The sequence below is a fragment of the Homo sapiens genome, chromosome 11 (assembly GCF_000001405.40).
Source record: "Homo sapiens chromosome 11, GRCh38.p14 Primary Assembly".
Lineage (NCBI taxonomy): Eukaryota > Metazoa > Chordata > Mammalia > Primates > Hominidae > Homo > Homo sapiens.
Genome location: NC_000011.10, coordinates 74818430 through 74843818, shown reverse-complemented (window position 1 = coordinate 74843818; position 25389 = coordinate 74818430). Strand labels below are relative to the sequence as shown.

The 25389-nt window shown below is 40.6% G+C and overlaps 2 protein-coding genes across 72 annotated transcripts in view; one reads left to right on the top strand and one right to left on the bottom strand.

Moving 5' to 3' along the window:
- Positions 1-2909, top strand: part of XRRA1 (X-ray radiation resistance associated 1) — a 108182-nt gene extending 105273 nt beyond the window's left edge. For all 69 annotated transcript variants that reach the window (NR_165439.1, NR_165438.1, NR_165437.1 and 66 more), the window contains one exon: positions 366-2909. Coding sequence is in view for 63 of the 69 variants with exons in the window: in XM_047426401.1 (XP_047282357.1) it covers positions 366-619 (254 nt within the window). In the remaining 6 variants the exon portion in view is untranslated. The remainder of the gene's footprint in view (positions 1-365) is intronic.
- The window catches only part of RNF169 (ring finger protein 169), a 93565-nt gene continuing 69581 nt past the window's right edge, over positions 1406-25389 (bottom strand). For all 3 annotated transcript variants that reach the window (XM_011544889.4, NM_001098638.2, XM_047426707.1), the window contains exons 5-6: positions 9044-9143; positions 1406-8273 (exon numbers count right to left, since the gene is read on the bottom strand). In XM_011544889.4, the coding sequence (XP_011543191.1) occupies positions 7089-8273; positions 9044-9143 (1285 nt within the window). In that variant the 3' untranslated portion in view covers positions 1406-7088. The remainder of the gene's footprint in view (positions 8274-9043; positions 9144-25389) is intronic.

Below are 25389 nucleotides of genomic sequence, written 5' to 3'. Positions count from 1 at the left end.
CAGTTCACGCCTGCTGGCTAAAGGCAAAGAAAGGGCTTGTGTCAGTGCAGGAAAGGCCCTTAGAGAGCAACTGCCTACATCAGTCTCTACATGTAGATGGACAAAAGGAGAGCCAGCGTGAGGCAGGGAGTTGCCTAAAATCACACAGCATGTTAAGGTCCTGAACCAGGGCTTAAGATAGAGTCAATGCATAGGGGCAGTAGGAAGTCAGTGACTTCCCAAGCTGGAAAGGCCATTTTTAGCCCCTTAGCATCCTCCTGCCACACCATCCCATTTTCCAAGGGTCTCTGGACCCAATCCTCTTGCTTCTGGCTAGGTGAGAACCAGGATGAGCTTGGTGCCTCTCCTGGCTTCTTTTCCTGCAGGTGCTGTCCTGCACCAGTGGACAGAACGGCGGCTGGTGAACCACAAGCAGTACCTGGAGGCCAAGAGGCTGTTGAAGGAGTTCCAGGCACGTTACCGGCAGCTGGTGAGTGGCTCTCTGCGCACAGTGTTCGGGACTACCCCGCTCCCCATGGCCTGCCCAGCGCTGAGTGAGAGCCAGCCCAAGTTCGGCCACTTCCTCGAGTTCATGGATGAGTTCTGCCAGGAGCCCACAGCCAGTGACTCACAAGGCTAGAGCTGTGCATGGGGGCTGTGTGCACCACCCGGCCTGTGCCCCAGCTCTCCCCGAGGGCTCTGTGCCCTGGACCGCACCTCAAGGTTGACCAGCCGGCCACAGGCCTCAGAGCTCAGCTGGGCCCCACTTGCTGGCCACAAGGTGGCATCCCCTTGTCAGGATCTCCCCTCCTTGGCCCAGGCATGACCTGGTGCCTGGCCCAGCGGCAATAAAGAGTGGGTGCACAGGGCAATAGACTGGGTGCCACATGCATTCTTTCTTGGAACCCAGGCCACAGCAGCATTGTCACACTTCCCTCTAAAAATGGTTTTCCAGTTCAGATGCAACAGGGATACATTTGTTCTCTGTTGTATGAGAAACTGACACCAAGGGGATCTTAACAAATTCCTGAACAATGGCTCCAAAAAAGGGTATTTTTAAAAACCAGATCTTGTGAGTACAGCCCTAATGTGCAGGGACAGTGTCATCCTGTATATTCGTTCTTTACTCAGACTCTTTCTTGGTTCCTTCATTAGGAGCATGAATGGTTGAATGTGAACATGACAGTAAATTGGAGCAAACTGTAAACTGGACATAACTTATGCCAAAAGACGTAGTTGTACACCATGGAAACCCCATCCCTGCTCCTAATCTCTACTGCCATTCTGAATGCCAAAGCAAGACATCCAACATGGGGCATCTCCCAGAGCACATACAGCACCAAAAATCCACACACAGCCTAAGCTTAACCCATGTTTTTGTCTGAGATTGTTCACCAGAGACAAGACTCTGACTATAAACAGAACATCCACTTTCATGAGTTTCCTTTACTGTATTCTCAACTTGGGCCTTGCTTCAAGCAGGCAAACATACATTGAAGAATGCACTTTGGTACTGTTTAAATAACAACACATCAGCCCACTTGATTCCATGCCATGTCCTTGCTGACAGAAACATCCCCAACAGGGCATGCCCTGGTCCAAGTCCTCTGTCTTTGTCAAAATGCTCTTCTGATGAGTTGGAGAGGAGGCAGCCAGCAGTGGCAGTCCACAAGGATCCAGGTACCTTCTCCAATCCTAAAGCAGACAGCAGGTTGAATAAAACCAATACACAACCTATTTTCTAGGCAGGAGGGGAAAAGGCCCTTAGGACAATAATATTTGTACAAAGAGTTGAGAGTAAACAAACAGTGTATCAGGTTCAAAAAAAAAAAAACTATTCGTTGGCATTTAAATTTTTTTCCCTTGCATAGTATCTATTCTCTCACTAGGACTTTTAAGTGCTCTGCTGGAGGCTCAGCGTTGGTAATACCATGTTTGATGCAAACTTGAACCCAATGCTCTCATTGGTGGCACAGCTTTGGAGGGTGGTGGCCCCAAGAAGGGGCAATCTGCCTGCTGCTATATTAATCTGGAACCAGGGCCAACAGCTACTCTTGAACTATGGTATTTGAAGAGCGAGTTCATTGCCTGTTTTACCTTAAATGACAGGAAAGGAAGATGAACAAACCTTGCTTTGCCTTGGCTTCAAACTAGTTCTTGATTTAAGACACCAGAAAGGGAGAGAGGGAGTCTGCTTAGAGTTTGAGGTTGCCTCTCACAAGATGACAGTTAAAAGTTGCCACCTTACTTAAAAGGCATTAAGGAGGCATTTACTCACAAAGGAGAGAGAGTAAATTTTTTTCTTAAGAGGAAAAAAATACTGATAATACATAGAACAATCTGCACATCCAGTCTTGGCACTTTTTCCAATTTGACTGATCTCTAAACTGGTGACCCTTGCATATATCTTAGTCTCTTTTCTACAATCTTCTTCAGAAAGCTACAGCAGCTAACAATCATGTATAAAGATGCATTTCCTAGATCATCTTCAGAAGAAAATCTCTTCAGCACTTTCCCTAGAATCTGTCTCCTGACCACCCCGCCCCAGACCTGCTTTCTCTTTTGAGAATTCATAACCAGGTATGTTTAGATACCAGTTCAAAAGACCACTCTATGGGTTGATGAGGAAAAGGCTGCCTGAGGACAATTTAAGACCATAATGAGTTTCCAATTTTTAAAGAAAATTTGGCTAGCTGGCTTTTAATTCTTAATTAAAATCATTAAATTTAATTAAAATTATTCCAATCAAAATATATCACTTTCCAAGATTCCACATTCATATTACTTACTTATACTATGGAGACTTTCTCTACCTGAGCATGTATTCAGGGGCTATAGGTACATTTAACTCTAACTAACTGAAAAAAATCAGGAAGAAAAAACTATTAAAATAAAATAACCTCCTAAATCATTTGGGGGTATCCCCATCATTGGTGCGTGTGTCTGCGTGTGTCAAACTTTAATGATTATTTATTCAGACCCTGGAAAACCACACTATAAAATAGGGCACTGGATCACAAGTTCGTTTGGTTAAAAAAAAAAAAAAAAAAAAGTGGGGGCGGGGGGCAGAGAAGAAGTTTAACTTGGATGATTTCCATGCCCATTCCAGCTGTAACATTCTATGACTGTGACCCAGCCTTTGTTCTCTTTTCTCACTCTCCTACTAGACATTTCAATGAAAAGTTAGGCAGGAAAAAGGAAAGGAATCCCAAGTTGCTGCCAGCTCTGATGAGAGATCAGGTTGGGGGAGAGATTAGGTGGTTACTGAATTGAGGTGTGGGCCTCCCCTGACCATGTCAGTGATCCACAACCCACCTCACTTCTTGGGGCTTAAGCTAAAAGCAGCTTCTGAAGAGATGTTAATGTCCTGTAATCACTAGAGGAGAAAATTCATTCTCCTTCCATAACATTACTTAGTAAAGGAAAAGCGGTGGTGCAATCAAATTCACAAATACCAATGGGGTCTCTAAAATGTAGAATGCAGCTTGCTGGGTGCTGGTCAGTTTTCTAAATGGGACCAGAAATGGCTTTCCTAAGACCATAAATGAACTCTCCAGCCACACATACATTCAAATGCATTCCATTAGACATTGAGCTCCTCAAGAGCAGGAACTGCTTTATCTCCACAGTCCAGCTCAGGGTTGGCTCAAGTCTGAAGCTCAGTAAATGTCTGTCAAATAGAAAAGAAAGGATGAGCCTTCGGTCATCAGCTACATGAGTCAGGCACGGTGGCAGCTTCCCATTTTAGTCAGTTTGCCAGTTTGTAACCAGACAGTAATCAATTAAGAGCTTTAATCTCTTAAGGACATTTTTCCTTTAGGGAAAATGAACAAAAAATAAAACATTTATTACCAGTGCTGCTTCCAAGCAAAAATTTAAAAATTAAATTAAAATTTAAAAAATAAGTGAAGCCACTTAGGAGTTTCCCTGGCAAGCCTCACCCAAGAAGACTTAACCTTTTTTAAAAAGAGGCAAATAGATTAAAGGGGCCAGGGGCTGGATGCATAATCCCCTGATCTGATACCAACCCAACAGGCCCAGATGACTTCTTCCAGCAGATACAATCAATGGGTCAAGAACATTTTCTCAAAGTTTCTTTCCCTCTCTATGGAAAAGAGCTGACAGCCCCCTTCTAAGGGCACCACATTTCCTGGATTTCCCCTCAGACTGACCTTCACCCTCCCCCCTAACTTCCCCTTTAATAATAAAAAAACCCAGAATGCATATATACAAGGAACAGAGTAAGACATGGGTAATTTGTATGGTGAACTGGGCTTCAATGATTTGTGAGGAATTTGTTTTGTGAAATCCTGCACCTCTTATTCTAGCTCACAAACCCTTCCCATCGTTCTGTTTCCTTCCTTGTCCTTTTCTGTTCCCCCAAATAATACACATCAACATATCGACTTTTAACCAACTTCAGAATCATGGAAGGAGAGAGGGAGATTTTTCAGAAAGAAAAGCATTCAGGTTTTAGTTATTAAGGATGGGAAGCATCTTAAAATTCAGATAATACCTTAGTGGTTTTTCCTTCCTCCAAAGCCAACCTGATTAAAGATCAACCCTCCTCCCTCCTTAACCTAGACCACTCTACCTATATTTGAAGGACTGTTGCTCAGCAGGAAGTTTAGAAAACAACTGTCAATACCATCCTAGGCATCACTGTAGGTACAAGGGGGGAAGGCAGTAAGCTGGACCTAGAGTTTGGACTATTTGCTTAACAAGAATTTGTTCTTCATTCTGCACTTGTTACAACTGCTATGCAATTCTTAAAATGAAAGTATTAATTTGGGGAAATATTTAAAATATATATCTTTTATCTATTAAAAATATTTCTTTTTACCAAAGACAAAAATCAATTCCAACTGAAAAGTGTTTTTCAAATTACTGGAGATATAGAGAAAGATGGCAAGTGGAAAAATAAGTGTCTTTGCTCCTACCAACAAGACTAGCCTTCCAATAATATTTACTAAGATCAAAAAGGAAATGCGTGAAATGGCAGTAACTGATAAGTTTCCTCTAAGGGCATTTATAGTAAGGTCACCCTCCCTGTCTTCTGTAAACCAGAGCCAGCTCTTCTGTTTTGGGCACAAACATGCCCTCCAGCAGCTCTTGGAGGACATAAATTGTTGGTAGGGCCCAGAACTGAAGTGGTGTGACTACAAAATCATGAGTTTGGTAAATGTTTTTAAAACATACATCTGCATATGTGCACACACACAGAGAACACAGAATGCATACATTCAGGTGAGTGATGTTCCCCACCAACGTAGTCACCAAAGAGATTCCACCTATCTCAATGATGACCACAATGTTTAAGACATCTCTGGAATTTCTGTTTGGGAACTGTTTGGGAACTATGAGCTGCACAAGAAAATGGCTCTGCTTTACAGCAGCACTCATTACTACAAACCCACTTGATAAGCCACCTTCTTTCCCAGAGGCTTCAAATAGCTGCTGGCTAGTCTCAGACATTACATTCTCTCTCTCTCTCAACCACAAATAACCACAAAACACTGAAGATTTGCCCTGAGAAAAGGCAAATCTGAGAACACTTAAAAGGAGTTATACTATCTGCCTTGATCAATGGGTCACTGTTCTGGACTTTGGCTTCTAGGTCTAGAAGCTGAGGAGGACCTTAGGAGGAGGCTGGAATAGATAACCATTAAGGTCCCTTCCAGTTCTAGCATTTTGGGAGTCAGTGTTTCTAGTCTTTGAAGACAGTTCCAGAAATGCTTTCACCAATGGCACTGGAAAAACTAAGCAGTATCCTGCTGGGGCTACTCAAAGGAAACAACATATATTGGGATATATAAGCTCTGGAAGGTCTGTTAAAATGCCAGTCACATGACTTTATATAGTAACTCATACTACATGGGGCATGCCAGCCCATCAGAAATTCCCTAAAATCATATCTTCATCCCTATTCTCAATGAGCCCAGATGGGCAGAAGCACCAAGCACCACCAGGGATGCAAAAGACACATGGTGTCAGCTGCTAAGGAAAATAAACCCCCAAAGGTCCATGGGACTGAATTTACCAGCTGCATCCAGCTAGATACCTTGTTTCCATAGTATGGAGTTTAAGTATTGTTCCTTGCCTGACTTCAGGGTGATTTTTTAGGATTTTAGATCAACATTGCAGATAACCCTTGGCCATTTGAAAAGTAATAATGAAGCCTGATTATAGTTTGTCTCATAGGCTGAAACCCCCAGAAAAGCAGAAGGCTCTAAACTGTGGGGGATGGGGATAATGCACATATATGTTTATCCACCCTGTCGATCTTGTTTGCATGTGGATTCTGCACTATCAGTGTTCAATGCCCAGCCTAGCTTCCCCTAGGCTCCCCTGGCACACCCTTAGGTTGTGATCTATTTGGGAAACCTTTAGAAAATCCATGGGTTATGCCACTTGGTAGTTGAGAGAACCAGAACATCTGCACTGCAGTTTCATCATCTAAAAATGGGGCTAATGCCAGTTACATGAGAGGTCTCTTGGAAAGACTAAATTAATAAGGTCTGTAAATGTGCTCTGTCAACTATATAGCATTCACCAAATATTATTTTTTAAACAGAGAATGTAAATTAACTTTTGTAAAGGCATAATCTTAACTGATATATTTACTTATTTTTGGCAAGGGACAGCAGAAAGCGTAACATAACCATCTATCATTTTGGATCTGCCAAGGAACTAAATTGTTCACTTGTCTGAAAAAGATGGAATTAATTTTTATCTGCAAGGCTGATTTAAAACAATACCCTGCTGAAAGAAGTCAGGAAGTCTATCAGTTTAAGAAGGTATCCCCTCTTTACCATTACTAACTGTGGCCATTATGCTCCTGAGGCCGTTCCAAATCTCATTCCCAGTGGGTGCTGCCAGGTTTGGCCCAGAAGCCCTTAGGGATGGGTCACTCAGGCTTCTGGCCTGGGTCACAGAGAAACGGAGATGCTTTTCCCTTGGATATTGACTACAAAGGCCCTGGAACCTCTCAGAACCATATTAGACAGTGTTTTGCCATTAAAATAAAACCAAAGTGAGAACACTCAGCTCTTCAGGATAAATGATCAAGGCCTAAGACCTTTTAAAAATAGGTAACACTTCATTAGGTGCTACTTGGCCCCGGCCATGTTGCTGGACCGTAGGAGATACTGATCCACACTTCCTTTTCGCCGGCTCACAGTCCGCCTCTCATTGTCGAACATGCGCTGCAACTGCAGAGCCAACTGTCGGTCTTCTTCCTCTTGCTGAAGCTTCTGCTCCATCTCTCGCAGGACTGGGTCTGTTGGGGCCAGACCCACCTCCCCACTGGTTTGTCGCAGTTTTTTAAGGGAGCCATTTTGTTCTAAGTGCTTGGTCTTGCAGTGTCTTTTCCGGCCTCGACGCAAAGAAGGAAGTGGCTCTTCACTTAGGCTCTCAACTAGAACACCATTAGTCAGATCAAAATGATTTAATGTCTTCAATTGTTGCTTTGTTTTGAGGACTCCACCCAAAACACTGTTTTGGGGTAGCACTGAATTAACTGTGGTGATTTTCATGGCTCTGCTTATACAGGTTTTGTCTAACTTGGCATCTGGAGTTGACCCTAACCCCTCAAACTGCTCCCTCTCCAAAGAAGTCCCACTGCCTCCCCCTTTGAGTTCTGAGGAACAGCAGGTTTCCAGTGGGATCTCAGTGCTACTTTTATTATCACTGTCCTGTTCTGCTTTTGTTTGGCTAACAGAGGGGAAATGATCAAGATCAGCAGAGGTGGGTCCAGTATACTCAGAGAGGACCTGCCCACCAGATAATCTTGTATTTACAGCCACAAGTGGCTTCTCCTTGCTAGAATGGATACCTTCAGAGCCTAGTAACTCTTCCCCCATTTCAGGAGCCAGAGAGGTAAGAGTGGCTTTTGAAAGGGTCTTTTTGATCTGCCGCTCCTGAAAGATCTGTTCCCACTTTTTGAGGATCCGTGGACTGGCCTCATAAGAAGTCTGCTTCTGCAGGCTTCTGTTTAGGTTGCGTGGAGTTGATTTGATGATGAGAGGACTTAGCACACGGCCATCAGGGAGTCTCTTGGGAGGAGTACATGGTGAGCAGACAATGGGCTTGAAATGGTTTAGTTCTTCGGAGATGCTGTCATTGCTCTCAGGGCTGACAGAACGCTCTGGCTTATGCAGGGAAGCCAAGGATGAAAGGGAGCTGAAGGGTAGACGCTTTTCGATGGTTAAGTCAGGGGCCGAGACGCAGCGGTTGTTTTGAGTTGACAAGAGGACACCAATGATGGGGTTGGAGGCTGGAGTCATAGTTGTGACCTGAAAGAGATTAAAAAGATTATGCCTTCATACACACATACATATACATTTTCCTTCATCATTCCTTTATGATGGTGGAGGCACAGGGAAGGGGAGGACAAGAAAAGGGATGAAGGGTAATGTGAGCCTAAGAAATGGAGAAAATCCCTAACTTAGAAAGCATACCATTTAGCAGAAAATCCTATATACTTCAAACAATTCATAAAACTGAAAATCTGTAGGGGAGAAAAAACACTTATCTAAAGCTTTAAAAAAGGTTTCTTGTCCAGGCATGGTGGCTTATACCTCCCAAAGTGCTGTAATCCCAGCATTTTGGGAAGCTGAGACAGGTGTATTACTTTGAGACCAGCCTGGAAAACATAGCAAGATCCCATCTCTACAAAAAAATTTAAAAATTCCCCAGGTATGGTGGCATGTGCCTGTAGTCCCAGCTACTTGGGAGGCTGAGGTGAGAAAGGCTACTTGAGCCCAGGAGTCTGAGGCTTCAGTGAGCTATGGTTGCACCACTGCACACCAGCCTAGGTAACAGAGTGAGACTCTGTCTCTTAAAAAAAAAGAAGGGGGGATTCTCTAGTAGCCCTAATTCTACCCATCTGGCTACTAATTCAAACTTTCTTCCTTCACATCTGTTTGTGGACTTCTCCAATATAACTAGTATGCCTGGGCTCATTCTGCTTCTTCTCTTCTGGAATAGTTTATTTCATGACCATGTGCAGAGGGGGTGATGGGGCAAGCCTCACAAGCCCCGGAGGTCTGTGGCTGAGGTGTACCTTGGCTTTGTTGCCTGGAACTGCTCTGACTCTGCTCTTCGCTCTTTCCTGGGCTGTGTCACTACAGCTCTGACTCCTTTCCACCTTGGAGTTTAGCTTCCTAAAAAAGAATAAATAAAAAACGAGTAGTCAAAATTAGTCCATATATAGGTAAGGAAAAAGGATGACAATATCTTTTTGCTTTCTAAGCCACTCACCAGGAAAGAATTCCCTTGGGCAGCTACAATAGAAAATGAGTTAATTTATTAACAAAATACATTCTGAATAGAAATTCTGCCAAAAGACAGTGCTCCAGAGAGGATATTTGGTTCAAGATTTTGTTTCCAAACTAGACCCTGCCAAAAGGAGGCAGAACCAGTGGCTATTTTGAACATGCTTAGAGAGATGTAGATACTTCACTATCCTTAATAGGGTGGATACAATGTTAAATCACCTTTACAACAAACAGATTTTTCTTTTTATTAGACCCAAACCTCTCTTCAATCTACATCAAGCACAAATATTGAAGTACTTACAAAAATGCACAGCAGTGCATTAGATCTCTATGTACAGAGTCAAAATTAAATGTAGTCTCTCCTTTAATCCATTACATTTGAGCTTTCAAAGGCCTAAATCCTAGTGATTTCAGAGGTTTAAAGAACACATGATTTTTGTCTTTATGACATTGAGTTTATAACCCAAACCAAACTCCACAGTACTTGGATTCTATACTGAAGTCCACTACACTATAGCATAGTAAGTACCATAAGACAGCAGTTAGTATGCAACTAAACTTCCCAAGTGTCTTCTTCTAAGAGTTTTATCATTTTGACTCTTAAGTTTAGGTCTTTGGTCCATTTTGAGTTAAATTTTTTAACTCAAAATGGTGTGAAGTTGGAGTCCAACTTTATCCTTTTGTATGTGGGTATCTATTAACAGTTGTCCCAGGATCATATGTGAATCTATGTTAGAATTATGTGCAGATGACTGTCACCTGCCCCAGAAACAAGTAGGGACACTTAATTTCTCACTCGCCTTTGTTTCCCCATTCCTCAACTCTTGCCTAAATATATGTCTGTTCACCAAGCATGTATCATATACTTACTATATGTATGCCAGACACTGATGGCCATTATCCAGGCACTGAGAATACAGAGAAGAATGAGACACAGTCTAGATCTTCAAGGAATCAGAGTCCAGTGGACAAATAAATACAATACAGTGAAAGGGCACAACAAAAAAAAGTATGCATAGGAAGCAGAAACGGCATAAAGGAGAGAGTTCTTCATAACCTGGGATGAAGTGAGATCTGGGTTGGAAAAGTCCTCCTGTAGCATGTTCATTTCAAAGGATAAACAGGAATATGCCGTAAGTCAAGGTGGACACATAGTTATGCAGATGATCTCAAACAGAAATTATTTCTTCAAATGATTCGATTTAGCTTTGGAATGGAACGCATCATATCTACTCTTTTGTAGCAAAAGACTTGTTTTCAGAGTTTTACTATGCCAGCATTAGCTTGGAGAAAACTTGTAAAGGAGGTAAGGTACCTTCCCAAGGTGCCTCTCTTCTCCCTACATCTCTAGTAAGTAGAGGGGGTAGCATGTCCTACCCACTCATAAGGGCTTCTATTCCAGTATTTCTGTGTTATTCCTCCCATTCAAAACCCTCCCATCCTATATCTTATGGCCACATAGTGTTAATAGGAGAAAGAGGTGGCCAGCCTGTATCACGTGCTTGCACTTTACCAAGAAACTCAACATTTAACCCAAATGAAAGATGTGAAAGTTGTACTATCTAGTGGGAAATACATTTTGGAGCAGGTGGAAAATTTCAACATCCCCCTATAAAAGCAGCTGTGTAAAAGTCAGCTTGATTGGTAGTTTACTTTTAAAAATATTGATATTCATTTGCATCCCTAGAAGTCACAGAAACTGTCAGTGGCATAAGCCACCCAGAAGTATACTGTATGGCAGATTAAAATGCTGTGGTAAATAATATATACCTTGGGTTAGAAAAAAGGGAGACAGCATTGTTGAGAGAGACAGCATTGTTACTTCAAATATATCAATTGTTTGGTGTGATTCCATCGGCAAAACAAGCAGACACCAAGAGGAAAAGATTTTCTGATCAACCTGAGAAAGACTTTTTTAACTTTCAATAGAGCAGTTCACCGATAGTTGCCTGGGAAGACACTGAGCTCCAGGCCGTTAGAGGTATTCAAACTGAGGCGGGATCTAGACCTTAAGTTCCAAATATTACATAATTAAGAAATAACTTAATTTTTAAAAACAGGCTATAAATCCATTTTGTCAGGTGTAAAACAGTCAAATTGAAAGTCACTGTTTTCAAGCCTACGTTATCAGATACACAAATGACAACTACCTGTAGCTGGGGAGAACATCTTCACATGCCCCATAAACTCCATTTTGGCAAAAGAAAAGGCCCAGGGAGGAAACACACTTGCAGTGACCAAACATGCAATGAAGAAAAAAAAAAAAAAAAATTCTGACAATCTAAAATCTTTTTGCTAAACTTCAGTGTAGCTGAAATTGTCATTATCTCTCCTATTCATATTTGACCAACAGACTTCTTACTGACCACCAACTGTGCAAAGCATTAGAGACAGATTGATCAAAAGACAACCTTCACTGAAAGGAGCGTCTAGCCACTGAAGTCCACCACTCTGTAGCATAAGTGCTGTAAGAGATCAGTTATTATACAACTGAACTCCTCAACTGTTTTCTTCTAAGAGTTTTATAGTTTAAGCACTTACATTTAGGTCTCTGATCCATCTGGAGTTCATTTTTGTATGTGGTATGAGGTTGGGGCCCAACTTCATTCTTTTGCATGTAGATATCCAGTTATACCAGCACCATATGTAAAGTGGCTGTTCTTTCCCCACTGAATGGTCTTGGCACCCTTGTTGGAAATCAGTTGACCATGGATGTATGGGTTTATTTCTGGACTCTCAACTCTATTCCATGGATTTACATGTCTACCCTTATTCCAGTACCACATTGTTTTGATTGCTATACTTTGCAGTAAGTTTTGAAATCAGGAGTTGTGAGTCTTCCACCTTTGTTCTTTTTTTTTTTTTTTCAAGATTGTTTTAACTATTTGGGATCCTCTGAAAATTCATATATGTGTTTTGGTATGTTTGTCCATTTCTGCAAAAAAGATCATTGGAATTTTAATAGATGTTACACTAAATCTGTAAAACGACTTCAAGAGTATTGCCATCTTAACAATATTATGTCTTCTAATCCATGAGCACAGGAAGTCTTTTGCTTAGTTAGATCTTCTTTAATTTCTTTCAGCAACGTTTTGTAGTTTTCAGCATACAAGTCTTGCACTACTGCGGTTAAATTTATTCATAAGTATTCTATTTTTTGATGCTATTGTAAACTGAATTGTTTTCATAGTTACCTTTTTGGGTTGTTCACTGCTAGTGTATAGAAATGCAACTGATTTTTGTGTGGTGAGCTTGTATCTTGCAACTTTGCTAAAATTTGTCTATTAGCTTTAACAATTATTTCATGGATTTTTTAGGATTTTTTGTGATTAACATGTCATGTGTAAACAGAGATAGTCTTACTTCTTCCTTTGCCATCTGGATGCCTTTTATTTTTCTTGCCCAATTCTTCTGGCTAGAATTTCCAGTACAATGTTGAACAGAAGTGGCAACAGTAGACATCATTTATCTTGTTCCTGCTACTGGGAGGAAAGTTTTCTCTTTCACCACTGAGTATGATGTTGCTGTGGGTTTTTTATAGATTCCTTTTATAAGACTGAAGTTCTCTTATTTTCCTACATGTTGAGCATTTTTCTCATGAAAGGGTATAAGATTTTGTCACTTTTTGTGCGTGTCTACTGAGCTTTTTTCCCCTTCATTCTACTAAAATGGTACATTACATTGATCTTCGTATGCTGAAACACCTTTGCATTCTTGGAATAAATCCTGCTTGGTCATGGTATATAATTCTTTTAAAAAAATGCTGCTGGATTTTGTTGGCTAGTATTTTTGCTGAAGAATTTTTATCTATATTCCGAAGAGATCTTGGCCTCTACTTTTCTTATGAAATATGTGTCTGACTTTGGTATCAGGGTAATGCTTACCTCATAGAATATTTATTCTTTTAATTTTTGGGAGAGTGTGAGGATTCACATTAATTCTTCTTTAGTTGTTTGATAGAATCACCAGTGAAGCCACTGGCCCTCGGCTTTTATTGTTGGATTTTTTTTTTTTTATTATGGGTTCAACCTCTTTACTTGATATAGGTCAATTCAGATTTTCAACTTCCTCAGGTACTTTACGAGTTTCTAGGAATTGGTGCATTTCATTACATTCACTCTAGGAACTGGTACATTTCATCTAAATTATCTAATCTGTTGGCATTAAAATTGTTCATAGTATTTGTCTATAATCCTTCTTAATTCTGTAATAACAGTAATGTCATCATTTTTCTTCCTAATTTTGGTAATTTGAGTCTTCTCTTTTTTTCTTGACCAGTCGTTAAAAATTTGTCAATTTTGTTGATCTTACCAAAGGACCCAACTTTTGGGTTTCATTCATTCTACTGTTTTCCTATTCTCTGTTAATCTTAAATGTAATCTTTATTATTTCTTTCCTTTTGTTTTCTGTGTTTAGTCTACTCTGTGTGTTTAGTCTTAGATCTTTTATAATGTAGGCTTTTACAGCTATAAATTTCCCTCTGAGCGCTGCTTTCATTACATTCAGTAAGTTTTGATGTACAGGTTTTCTTTAATTTTTACCTTTTTCTAACTTTTAAGTTCAGGGGTACATGCGCAGGATGTGCAGGTTACATAGCTAAACCTGTGTCATGGTGGTTTGCTGCACAGATCATCCCATCACCTAGGTATTAAGCCCAGCATCCATTAGCTATTTTTCCTGATGGTCTCCCTCCTCCCACCCCCATTCTCCTGCAGGCCCCAGTGTGTGTTGTTTCCCCAGTTTCCCCACATGTGTCCATGAGTTCTCATCATTCGGCTCCCACTTTATAAATGAGAATATGTGATGTTTGGTTTTCTGTTCCTGCATTAGTTTGCTGAGAATGATGGCTTCCAGCTCCATCCATGCCCCTGCAAAGGACATAATCTTGTTCCTTTTAATGACTGCATAGTATTCCATGGGGGTATACGTACCACATTTTCTTTATTCGGTCTATCACTGAATGGCATTTAGATTGGTTCCATGTCTTTGCTATTGTGAACAGTGCTGCAATGAACACACATGTGCGTGTATTTTTATAAGGGAATGATATATATTCCTTTGTGTATATACCTAGTAATGAGATTGCTGGGTCAAATGGTATTTCTGCTTCTAGGTTTTTGAGGAATCACCACACTGTCTTCCACAATGGTTGAACTAATTTGCACTCCCACCAACAATGTAGAAGTGTTCCTTTTTCTCCACAACCTTGCCAGCATCTGTTGTTTTTTGACTTTTTAATAATAGCCATTCTGACTGGTGTGAGATGGTATCTCATTATGGTTTTGATTTGCATTTCTCTAATGATCAGTAACGTCAAGCTCTTTTTCATATGCTGGTTGGCCACATGTATGTCTTCTTTTGAGAAGTGTCTATTCATCCTTTGTCCACTTTTTACTGGGGTGGCTTTTGTTTTCTTGTAAATTTGTTTAAGTTCCTTGTAGATGCTGAATGTTAGACCTTTGTCAGATGGATAGATTGCAAAAATTTTTCTCCCATTCCATAGGTTGTCTGTTCACTCTGATGACAGTTTCTTTTGCTGTGCAGAAGCTCTTTAGTTTAATTAGATCCAATTCATCAATTTTACTTTTGGTGCAATTGCTTTTGACATCTTCGTCATGAAATCTTTGCCCATGCCTATGGTCCTGAATGGTATTGCCTAGATTTTCTTCTAGGGTTTTTATAATTTTGGGTTTTACATTTAAGTCTTTAATTCATCTTGAGTTGATTTTATTTTTTATATGGTGTAAGGAAGGGGTCCAGTTTCAGTTTTCTGCATATGGCTAACCAGTTCTCCCAGCACCACTTACTAAATAGGGAATCCTTTCCCCATTGTTTTTGTCAGGTTTATCTAAGATCATATGGTTGTAGGTATGTGGTCTTATTTCTGGATTCTCTATTCTGTTCCATTGGTCTGTCTGTTCTTGTATCAATATCAGGCTGTTTTGGTTACAAGTAGCATTGTAGTATAGTTTGAAGTCAGGTAGTGTGATGTCTCCAGCTTTTTTCTTTTTGCTTAGAATTGTCATGAATATTCAGGTTCCATATGAATTTTAAATGGTTTTGGTTCCATATGAATTTTAAAATAGTTTTTTCTAATTCTGTGAAGAATGTCAATGGTAGTTTAATGGGAATAGAATTGAATCTATAAATTGCTTTGGGCAGTACAGCCATTTTAATGATATTCATTCTTCCCATCCATGAGCATGCAATGTTTTTCCATTTGTTTGGGTCATCTCTGATTTCTTTGAGCAGTGGTTTGTAGTTCTCCTTGAAGAGATCCTGCCTTCCCTTGTTAGCCCATATTCCTATTTTATTCTTTTTTTGTCAATTGTGAATGGGAGTTCATTCATGATTTGGCTCTCTGGTTACCTGCTACTGGTGTATAGGAATGCTAGTGATTTTTGTACAATGATTTTGTATCCTGAGATTTTGCTGAAGCTGCTTATCAGATTAATAAGCTTTTGGGCTGGGACAATGGGGTTTTCTAGATATAGAATCATGTCATCTGCAAACAAAGACAGTTTGAGTTCCTCTCTTCCTATTTGAATACCCTTTATTTCTTTCTCTTGCCTGACTGCCCTGGCTAGAACTTCCAATACTATGGCGAATAGGAGTGGTGAGAGAGGGCATCCTTGTCTTGTGCCTATTTTCAAGGGGAATGCTTCCAGCTTTTGCCCATTCAGAATGGTATTGGCTGTGGGTCTGTCATATATATGGCTCTTATTATTTTGAGGTATGTTCCTTCAATATCTAGTTTATTGAGAGTTTTCAACATGAAGGGGTGCTGAATTTTATCGAAGGCCATTTCTGCATCTATTGAGATAATCATATGGTTTTTGTCTTTAGTTCTGTTTATGTGAAGAATCACATTTATTGATTTGCCTACGCTGAACCACCCTTGCATCTCGGGTGACATCATTAGGCTTTGTGTCCCCACCCAAATCTCATCTTGAATTATAATCCCCATAATTCACAAAGAGATGGTCTGGAATTGGAACTTATGTTTAAAAGGAAAGCAGAGCATAAATGTTTGGAAAATTTCCAGTCTGACGGAGCAATAGAAAACAAAAACTCAGCTGCAGAAATTTGCATAAGTAATAAGGAGCCAAATGTTAATTGCCAAGACAATGGGGAAAATGTCTTCACGGCATGTCAGAAGTCTTCACAGCAAGCCCTCCCACTGCAGGCCCAGAAAGCTAGGAGGAGAAAATGGTTTCGTGGGCTGGGCCCAGGGCCTTGCTGCTTTGTGAAGTCTCTTGGTGCCCACACCCCAGCCGTGGCTAAAAGGGGCCAATGTACAGATCAGGCCATTGTTTCAGAGAGTACGAGCCCCAAGCCTTGGTGGCTTACATGTGGTATTGGGCCTGTAGGTGCACAGAAGTGAAGAAATGAGGGTTGGGAACCTTCACCTAGATTACACAGAATGTATGCAAATGCCGGGATGTCCAGGCAGAAGTCTGCTGCAGCGGTGGAGCCTGGAGCACCTCTGCTAGGGCAGTGTGGAAGGGAAATGCCCACACTGAGTCCCCATTGGGGCACTGCCTAGAGGAGCTGTGATAAGAGGGCTACCTTCCTCCAGACCCCAGAATGGTAGATCCACTGACAGCTTACACCATGTACCTAAAAAAGCCATAGACACTCAATGCCAGCCTGTGAAATCAGCTGGGAAGGGAGCTGTACCCTGCAAAGCCACAGGGGCAGAGCTGCTCAAGGCCCTGGGAGCCCACCTCTTGCACCAGTGTGACCTGAATGTGAGACATGGAGTCAAAGGAGATCACTTCAGAACTTTAAGATTTAGCTGCCCTGCTGGATTTCAGACTTGCATGGGGCCTGTAGCCCCTTCATTTTGGCCAATTTCTCCCAATGGAAATCGGTGTATTTACCCAATGCCTATACCCTTATTGCATCTATGAAATAACTAACTTGCTTTTGATTTTACAGGCTCATAGGCAGCAGGGACTTGCCTTATCTCAGATGAGACTTTGGGGGGCTGTTGGAAAGGCTTGATTGTGTTTTGAAAAGTGAGGACATGATATTTGGGAGGGGCCAGGGGTGGAATGGTTAGGCTTTGTGTTCCCACCCAAATTTCATCTTGAATTATAAACCTCATAATCCCCATGTGTCAAGGTAGAGTCCAGGTGGTGGTAACTGAATCATGGGGGTGGTTTCCCCCATGCTGTTCTCGTGATAGTGAGTTCTCATGAGATCTGATGGTTTCATTTATTTACTTATTTATGAGGTGGGATCTTGCTCTGTCACCCAGGCAGTAGTGCAGTGGCTCAATCTTGGCTCGCTGTGACATCCACCTCCCAGGTTCAAGCGATTCTCATGTCTCAGCCTCTGGAGTAGCTGGGATTACAGGTGCATGTCACCACACCCAGCTAATTTTTGTATTTTTAGTACAGATGGGGTTTCACTATGTTGGCCAGGCTGGTCTTGAACTCTTGACTTCAAGTAATCCACCCACCTCAGCCTCCCAATGTGCTGGGATTACAGATGTGAGCCATTGCTTCTGACCAAGATCTTATGGTTTTATAAGGGCCTCTTCCCCCTTCATTCATTCACTCACTCCCTCCTGCCACCTTGTGAAGAAGGTGCCTGCTTTGACTTCTGCCATGATTGTAAGTTTCCTGAGGCCTCCCCCAGCCACATGGAACTGAGTCAATTAAACTTCTTTTCTTTATAAATTACCTAGTCTCGGGCCGTTCTTTATAGCAGTGTGAAAAAAGATTAACACATGGGATGGAGCCTACTTGGTCATGACAGATAAGCTTTTTGATGTGCTGCTGGATTTGGTTTGCCAGTATTTTATTGAGGACTTTTGCATTGATGTTTATCAAGGATATTGGCCTGAAGTTTTCTTTTTTTGTTGTATCTCTTCCAGGTTTTGGTATCAGGATGATGCAGGCCTTATAGAATGAGTTAGGGAGGAGTCCCTCCTTTTTAATTTTTTGGAATAGTTTCTGTAGAAATGGCACCAACTCATCATCGTCCCTGTGGTAGAATTCAGCTGTGAATGTCTTGTCCTGGGCTTTTTTGGTTGGTAGGCTACTCCTTACTGCCTCAATTTCAGAACTCATTATTGGTCTATTGAGGGATTCAATTTCTTCCTGGTTCAGTCTTAAGAGGGTGTATATATCCAGGAAGGTTTTTATTTTCATTCCTCTCAAAGTATTTTCTAATTTCTCTTGTGACTTCTTCTTTGGCTCACTGGTTTTAAAGAACGTGTTGTTTCATTTCCACATATTTGTTAATTTTCCAGTTTTCTTCCTATCAATTTCTAGTTTCATTCCATTGTGGTCAAAAATACAGTTATTATTTCAACCTTTTAAAATATATTGAGACTTGTTTTATGGTCTAACATACAGTCTATATTGGAGAATGTTCCATGTGCACTTGAGAAGAATTCTTCTTGTTGAGTTGATCCTTTTATCATTATATAATGTATTTCTTTGTCTTTTGTAACAATTTTTAACCTGAAGTCTATATTGTCTGATATTAGTATAGTTACTCCAGCTCTCTTGTTTACTGTTTGCATGAAATATCTTTCCATCCTTTCACTATCAACCTATTTCTGTCTTTGGATCTAAGGTGTGTCTCAGCATATATCTCAATCATTTCTTTTTTAAGTCCATTCTCCCAATCTCCTCCTCTTAATTGCAGAGTTTAATCAATTTACATTTAATGTAATTGCTGATAAAGAAGGACTTCTGCTATTTTCTAGGTCTTATACAGGCAACCCTTTCTTTTTTGTCCTGTGCTTTATTGCACATTGCTGATATTGCATTTTTTTTACAAACTAAAGATTCATGGCAACCCTGTATCAAGCAAGTCTATCAGCATCATTTTTCCAACAGCATGTGCTCACTTCCTGTCTCTTGTGTCACGTTTTGGTAATTCTCACAATATTTCAAACTTTTTCATGATTATTATATCTGGTATAGTGATTTGTGATCTTTGCTATTTCCAGTATTCTGTTTGGCTTTCAACAGTTTGATTATAACATGTCTTGGTGTAGATGTCTTTATCCTACTTTGGAGTCACAGAACTTCTTGGATGTGTAGACTTATGTCTTTCATTAAATTTGATTAGTGTTTGCTCATTATTACTTCAAATATTCTTTCTGCCCCTTTCTCTCTCATTCTGGGACTACCATTTTGTGTATATTGGTACACTTAATGGTGTTTCACAGATTTCTTAGGCTCTGTTTATTTTTCTTTATTCTTTTTTCTGTTTCTCAGATTGGATAATCTCAATTGACCTATATTCAAATTAGCTAATTATTCTGCCTGTTCAAATCTGTTCTGTCACTGTACTTTTCAGCTCCAGAATTTCTATTTGATTCCTTTTTTATAATTTTATCTCTTTACTGATACTGTCTACTTAGGACACTGTTTTTCATGGTTTCCTTTAGTTCTTTGCCCATAGTTCCTTTAGCTCTTGAGGATATGATTTAAAGTCCCCATTAAAAATGTCAAATGTCTTGGCTTCCTTTGGGACAGTTTCTATCAGTTTCTTTTTTCCTGTGTATGGGTCATTGTTTCTTGTTTCTTATGCCTCATATTTTTTGCATTTTGAATATTATAAGGTGGCAACTATGAAAATCAGATTCTCTCCCCACCCCTGGGTTTGTTGTTGCTGTCTGTTATAGCTGTTATTTGTTCAGTGACTTTTTTGAACTGATTTTATAAAGTCTATTTTTTGTCATATGTGGCCAATGAATTCTCTGTTCTGTTAGCTTAGTGGTCAGTTAGTGATCTGACAGAGTTCCTTAGATGCCAAGATTCCAGTGTTCTTTTCCTCTTTTTTTTTTTTTTTTTTTTCTGAGACAGGGTCTCACTCTATCGCCTAGGCTGGAGTGCAATGAAGTGATCATGGCTAACTGAAGCCTCTATCTCCTGGGCTCAAGAGATCCTCCCACCACAGCCTCCTGAGTAGCTGGAACCAAAGGCATGTATCACTATGCTCGGCTGATTTTTAAAATTTTTAGTAGAGACAAGGTCTCGCTATGTTGCCCACACTAGTCTCAAACTCCAGAGCTCAAGCAATCCTCCCACCTCAGCCTCCCAAAGTGCTAGGATTACAGGCATGAGTCACCAAACTCAGCCACGTGCATTTTTTCTAGATTGAGACACTGCTTATTTGCTGTAAACTTTTGATTAGTTTCCAGAGTTCCAATAAAGTTGATGTTGGCTGTTTTTGCCAATTATTATTGCTTTTATGGAAGGCTTTTGGAGTTCCCTGCTCTGCCAATTTTGCTCATGTCACCAGGCAAAGTATCTTTTAAGAAATAGTGAGATATATTTAAATTATAAAGCAAGAAAGGTGTTTTATTACCATGGCACTACTGAAAAGATCAAGCAGTACTTCTAGCAACATGCAGTATAAATGTGGACACTAACAGTCACTAAAATCATGAATGTAAAAATATTATATAAAACATAAACATAATACCCAGATAATATTATTGTTGTTATTGTAGCATTTGGTCAGGGAAGGAGTCTTCAAAATGCTGGAGCAGAATAGTCAAGAGCAATAAACCTGACAATGTTCTTAGGATTTAAAGTGCCCAAACAATAATCTCACTAAAAAAAAATGGAGGCGGTAAGTATTCCTTCCTCTTTTGTACGGAGTCCTTTTCTGTATTCCTAAACCCTAACACAGTGCCTGGCATACAGTGGATATATTAAAGAAATTTCTTATAAATACATAAAAATGTGTGCAGAAATAACCTCTTTCTATCCCTTAAGGAAAAGAAAGAAAACATCAACATTTATTAGAAACCCATTATCTGTCAGGCACTGTGCTAAGTGTTTGAAATATATTGTATCTCATTTAATCCACACAGAGACTCTATGACACAGGTGTCATCATCCCCAATTCATAGACAGAGAAATGAGAGAAGTGATCTTTCCAAGTTCACACAGCTGAAGTGAATTATTTAAACCTACAGTATAGTTCTAAGGCCTGTGCTCTTTGCACCACAGCATACTGATCTAACTTACTCTACTCTGCCATAGAACAGACTCAAAACATCTAGGAAAGCTCTGTCTATCTGAACACATAATGAAGGCATAAACAAGAGAAAGCAGCACTGTCTGAAAAGCAACTTGCTTAAAATTTCCACTGCCAAGAGACCAGATGGTTTCTGGGACGTCTAGTTAGGCTAAAAATACCCGCACCCACAATGAGTTTGATTTACAAACAAAGGAAAGCAGGGTTAGCCAGTATAAACATGCAGCTGGAAAGCTAGAAGATTTAATGCTTACAAAACACTGCTTAAAGGGTGTCAAATGGCCATACAAGATATAAAACGTTAGACAGCTTATGCGCTCAATTGCTTGCTCATTACTCTCTCTGTCTCTTACATACCTACGCCATACTTGTTTCTTAAGGGTACCTTCAGGTCTGACAGAGCTGAGTCCCACCAAGAAATTAAGGTTGGAGAGGACCCTCCTGCCAGTCTCTGGCCTGAAAGACCCTTCCCACCCTCTCCATCCTGTCACACACACACACACCTCTCTCTCTCTCTCACTCACTCACACACACACACCCTGGAGTGAAACCCAGAAGCTTCTTTAGACCTTGGTGCAGCTGCTATCCACCCAGAAGTTGGTAATATTTTGTTACACTCTGGGTTATCTGCCTTGTCTATACTAGTATTCTTTTTATTTTTTTAGGTGTACGATGTAATGGTTTTTAGTATATTCAGTTATTTAACCATCACCACAATTAATTTTAGAACATTTCTGTCACCTCAAAAAGGAACCCTATACCCTTTAGCTATCACCTCAAACCCCACTTCCTCCAGCCCTAAGGAACTACTCATGTATTTTATGTCTCTACGTATTTGCCTATTCTGGACCCGCACTTGTATTCTTTTTTTTTTTTTTTTTTTTTTTTTGAGACGGAGTCTCGCTCTGTCGCCCAGGCTGGAGTGCAGTGGCGGGATCTCGGCTCACTGCAAGCTCCGCCTCCCGGGTTCACGCCATTCTCCTGCCTCAGCCTCCCAGGTAGCTGGGACTACAGGCGCCCGCCACTACGCCCGGCTAATTTTTTGTATTTTTAGTAGAGACGGGGTTTCACCATTTTAGCCGGGATGGTCTCGATCTCCTGACCTCGTGATCCGCCCGCCTCGGCCTCCCAAAGTGCTGGGATTACAGGCGTGAGCCACCGCGCCCGGCCCGCACTTGTATTCTTTTACTGATGGCTAGGAACACTTGTTTCCATAGCTCTATTCCAAAAGGCCTAACATAATGCAGAAGGATTTGAGTTCTCTTAAATGAGAAATAACTGGACAGATTCTCACTTTTCTCTGTAGCAACCATGTATCTTTTTGGAACAATGGAGGGTATAAATTATTTTTTTAAAAAATGGAAGGAGAGCAGCCTTCTGTTGCAAAGATAGATAATTTCAAAACACATATTTAAGTGCAGGGCCTTTTGTCACAGAGTTCTGATAACAACAGAAAGAACACAGATTTGGAGTAAAAAGAGAACTGGGTTCCAATTCCTTCTCTGTACTCTAATGAGTTGAGAGGTTCTTGGGTGAGTCACTTAACCTCTTTGAATTGCAGCTTCCTTTGCTGTAAAACAGTGATGTCACACATTTTGCAGGATGAATATGAGAATTAAATCACATGAGGTATGCTAAGAACTCAACATGGCAGAGAGCCCAAGGAAGCACTGGGAAAAGGCTAGCTCCTGACACTACCCCTCACCAAACTTCCAGGCCTTTCTGAAGACTATGAGAATATTTCTGTTCTAAAATGGCAGAGATATTACTGACGCTTCTACCACCATTCTCCTTAAGCTCCACATTGCTTCTCCTTAAGCTATCTTCCTTTTCCAGCCATATTCCATTACTTTTAATAAGATTTGTCCTCTTAATAAGCAGGCTGGTAAACACTTGACTTGTTCCAATTCCTGAATCCCTCCCCAAACACACACACACCCCAGGCCATCATCAAGCCTTGCTGTTTCAACTCACTGCTTCATCATCTTCTCATAATCTCCTCTCCCTCAAGCCACTGTTTGACTATTCCCCACACACAACTTAAGTCTGATCTTTATTGTTACAACCTCCTAACGGCCCCCACCCCCTTTCTTTTCATGCCCTGGCCTCATTTCCTCCATCCTTCAAAACTCTGGTTTAAGCCACCTCTAGATATTTCCATTTTAGAGGAAGAATCTTAAGAAATCATAGAGTAAACCCCCCTGCCCTAGCTTGTAGGTAAGGCATAACTCTGCAATTTTACCTAGATGAGACTGAAGGAGAGCCAACTGATTTTACTCAAGGTCACAATGCTACTTCTTCCCTAAAACTCCACCCCTTAGTTCTCTGCATCTGCTTCTTTTCCTCAATCCTGAAGCTAGTATTCCAATATCACATCACTTATGCATCTGCTTGGTTTCTGTTACCTGAATGCTTTTGTATTTCATCTGTGAATTTTAAGGAAGGGTACCTATTTCCCAGAGGGTCTTCAGATTTCAATTCACTCTAACACTGGCTGGACATGTGTTTAGTATCTCTGACTCTGTCAGTAAGTCTCTGTCTATATCTGTCCTTATACATACACTGTATAGAACGCACAGCCACTTTAAGTCCCCTGATGTGCCACACTCTGATCCACCAGAGACTCAGGCTTAAAAGTATCTGCACGTTAGAAAACAAAACAATGTAGCTACGGTTAATTTCTACTAAGTAGAACACAGATCTTTCTTTTATAGCATCTATAAAAAGTATCAATATAAACTATTGCTAAAGCATTCGAAGGCTAAAAAGCAACTTCATAACATAAAAATTTTATCAATGTGGTCACTAGACTTCCCCCTAAATCCCATATTAATCCTATGGAATCTAATCTAAAAAACAGCCATCAGCCAATCTAAGCTCCTAGAGCCCTCCCTCCTAGAGGCCCTCTGCTGCATGTTTGACAGTCAGTTCTGACAAAGCCCCAGTTTAACCTACCAACAGGCACAAGGCCTGTCTTATTCAAACATTCCACAAATATTTACTGAGCCCTTACTAAGTGCCAGACACTGTACTAAGTATTATAATGATGAACAAGATGCTATCCCTGCCTTTGATGAGTTTAAAGTCTAGAGGAGAAGGTGAACAGAGGCAGCATGAGGATCTATAAGAAGGTATGGAGTACAGTAGAAAGAGCAGTAAACTCAGAGCCAAGAAGCCTCAGTTCTAACTCAGTTTCCTCCTGTTTTAGCAGTCTAAGATTTGGCAAGCCATGTTCTCTCTCTGGGCTTTAGTCTTCCATTTATAAAACAAATGGACTGAATAAGATGATATTTAAGGTCCTTTTCAGCTACAAGAGTCCATGTTCCAAGAGAAGATAAAAATTGCAGCAGCAGCAGCAGCAATATTCACTGAAGACTTAGCATGTGCCAGAATCTTGCTAGGAACCATTTACTTAAGATTCCATTTTGTATGAAATGGCATTACCGGCATTACTACATCACTTTAAAAAAAAAAAAAACTGGAAAGAAGACTGGTTTGATTATGTTTCTTTGTATGGTTACACTCTATTTACAAGAAGAATCTGAAGTGATTTACAGTACAAATACATAATGACAAATAAAGACATTAAGTAATCCATGTAAGAAGGGTAGAGCAGAAATTATTTTTTAAATAATTAGGCAACAGAGAGAGCTCCTGTCTCAAAACAAAAACAACAAACAAACAAAAAAGCCCCAAAATGAAAGGGTCTGGGTGTGTATTCACAGGAGCAGCAAGAGAGAGAGATCTACTAAATAATACTGGTGGAAAGGAAGAGTTGAACCCTAGAGATAAGGGTGAGCAATACCAGCTTTAAACAAAACAGGAAATGAACTGGGGTGAAGATTGTTTCTTTGGCCAGACACAGTGGCTCACACCTATAATTCCAGCATTTTGGGAGGCTGAAGCATGAGGACTGCTTGAGCCCAGGAGTTCAAGACCAGCCTGGGCAACACAAGGAGACCTCGTCTCTACAAAAAACGTTTTAAAAATTAGCCAGACATGGTGGCACACAGCTATGGTCTCAGCTATTCAGGGCTGAGATGGGAGGATCATCTGAGCTCAGGAGATTGAGGCTACAGTGAACCATGATTGCCCAATTATACTCCAGCCTGGACAA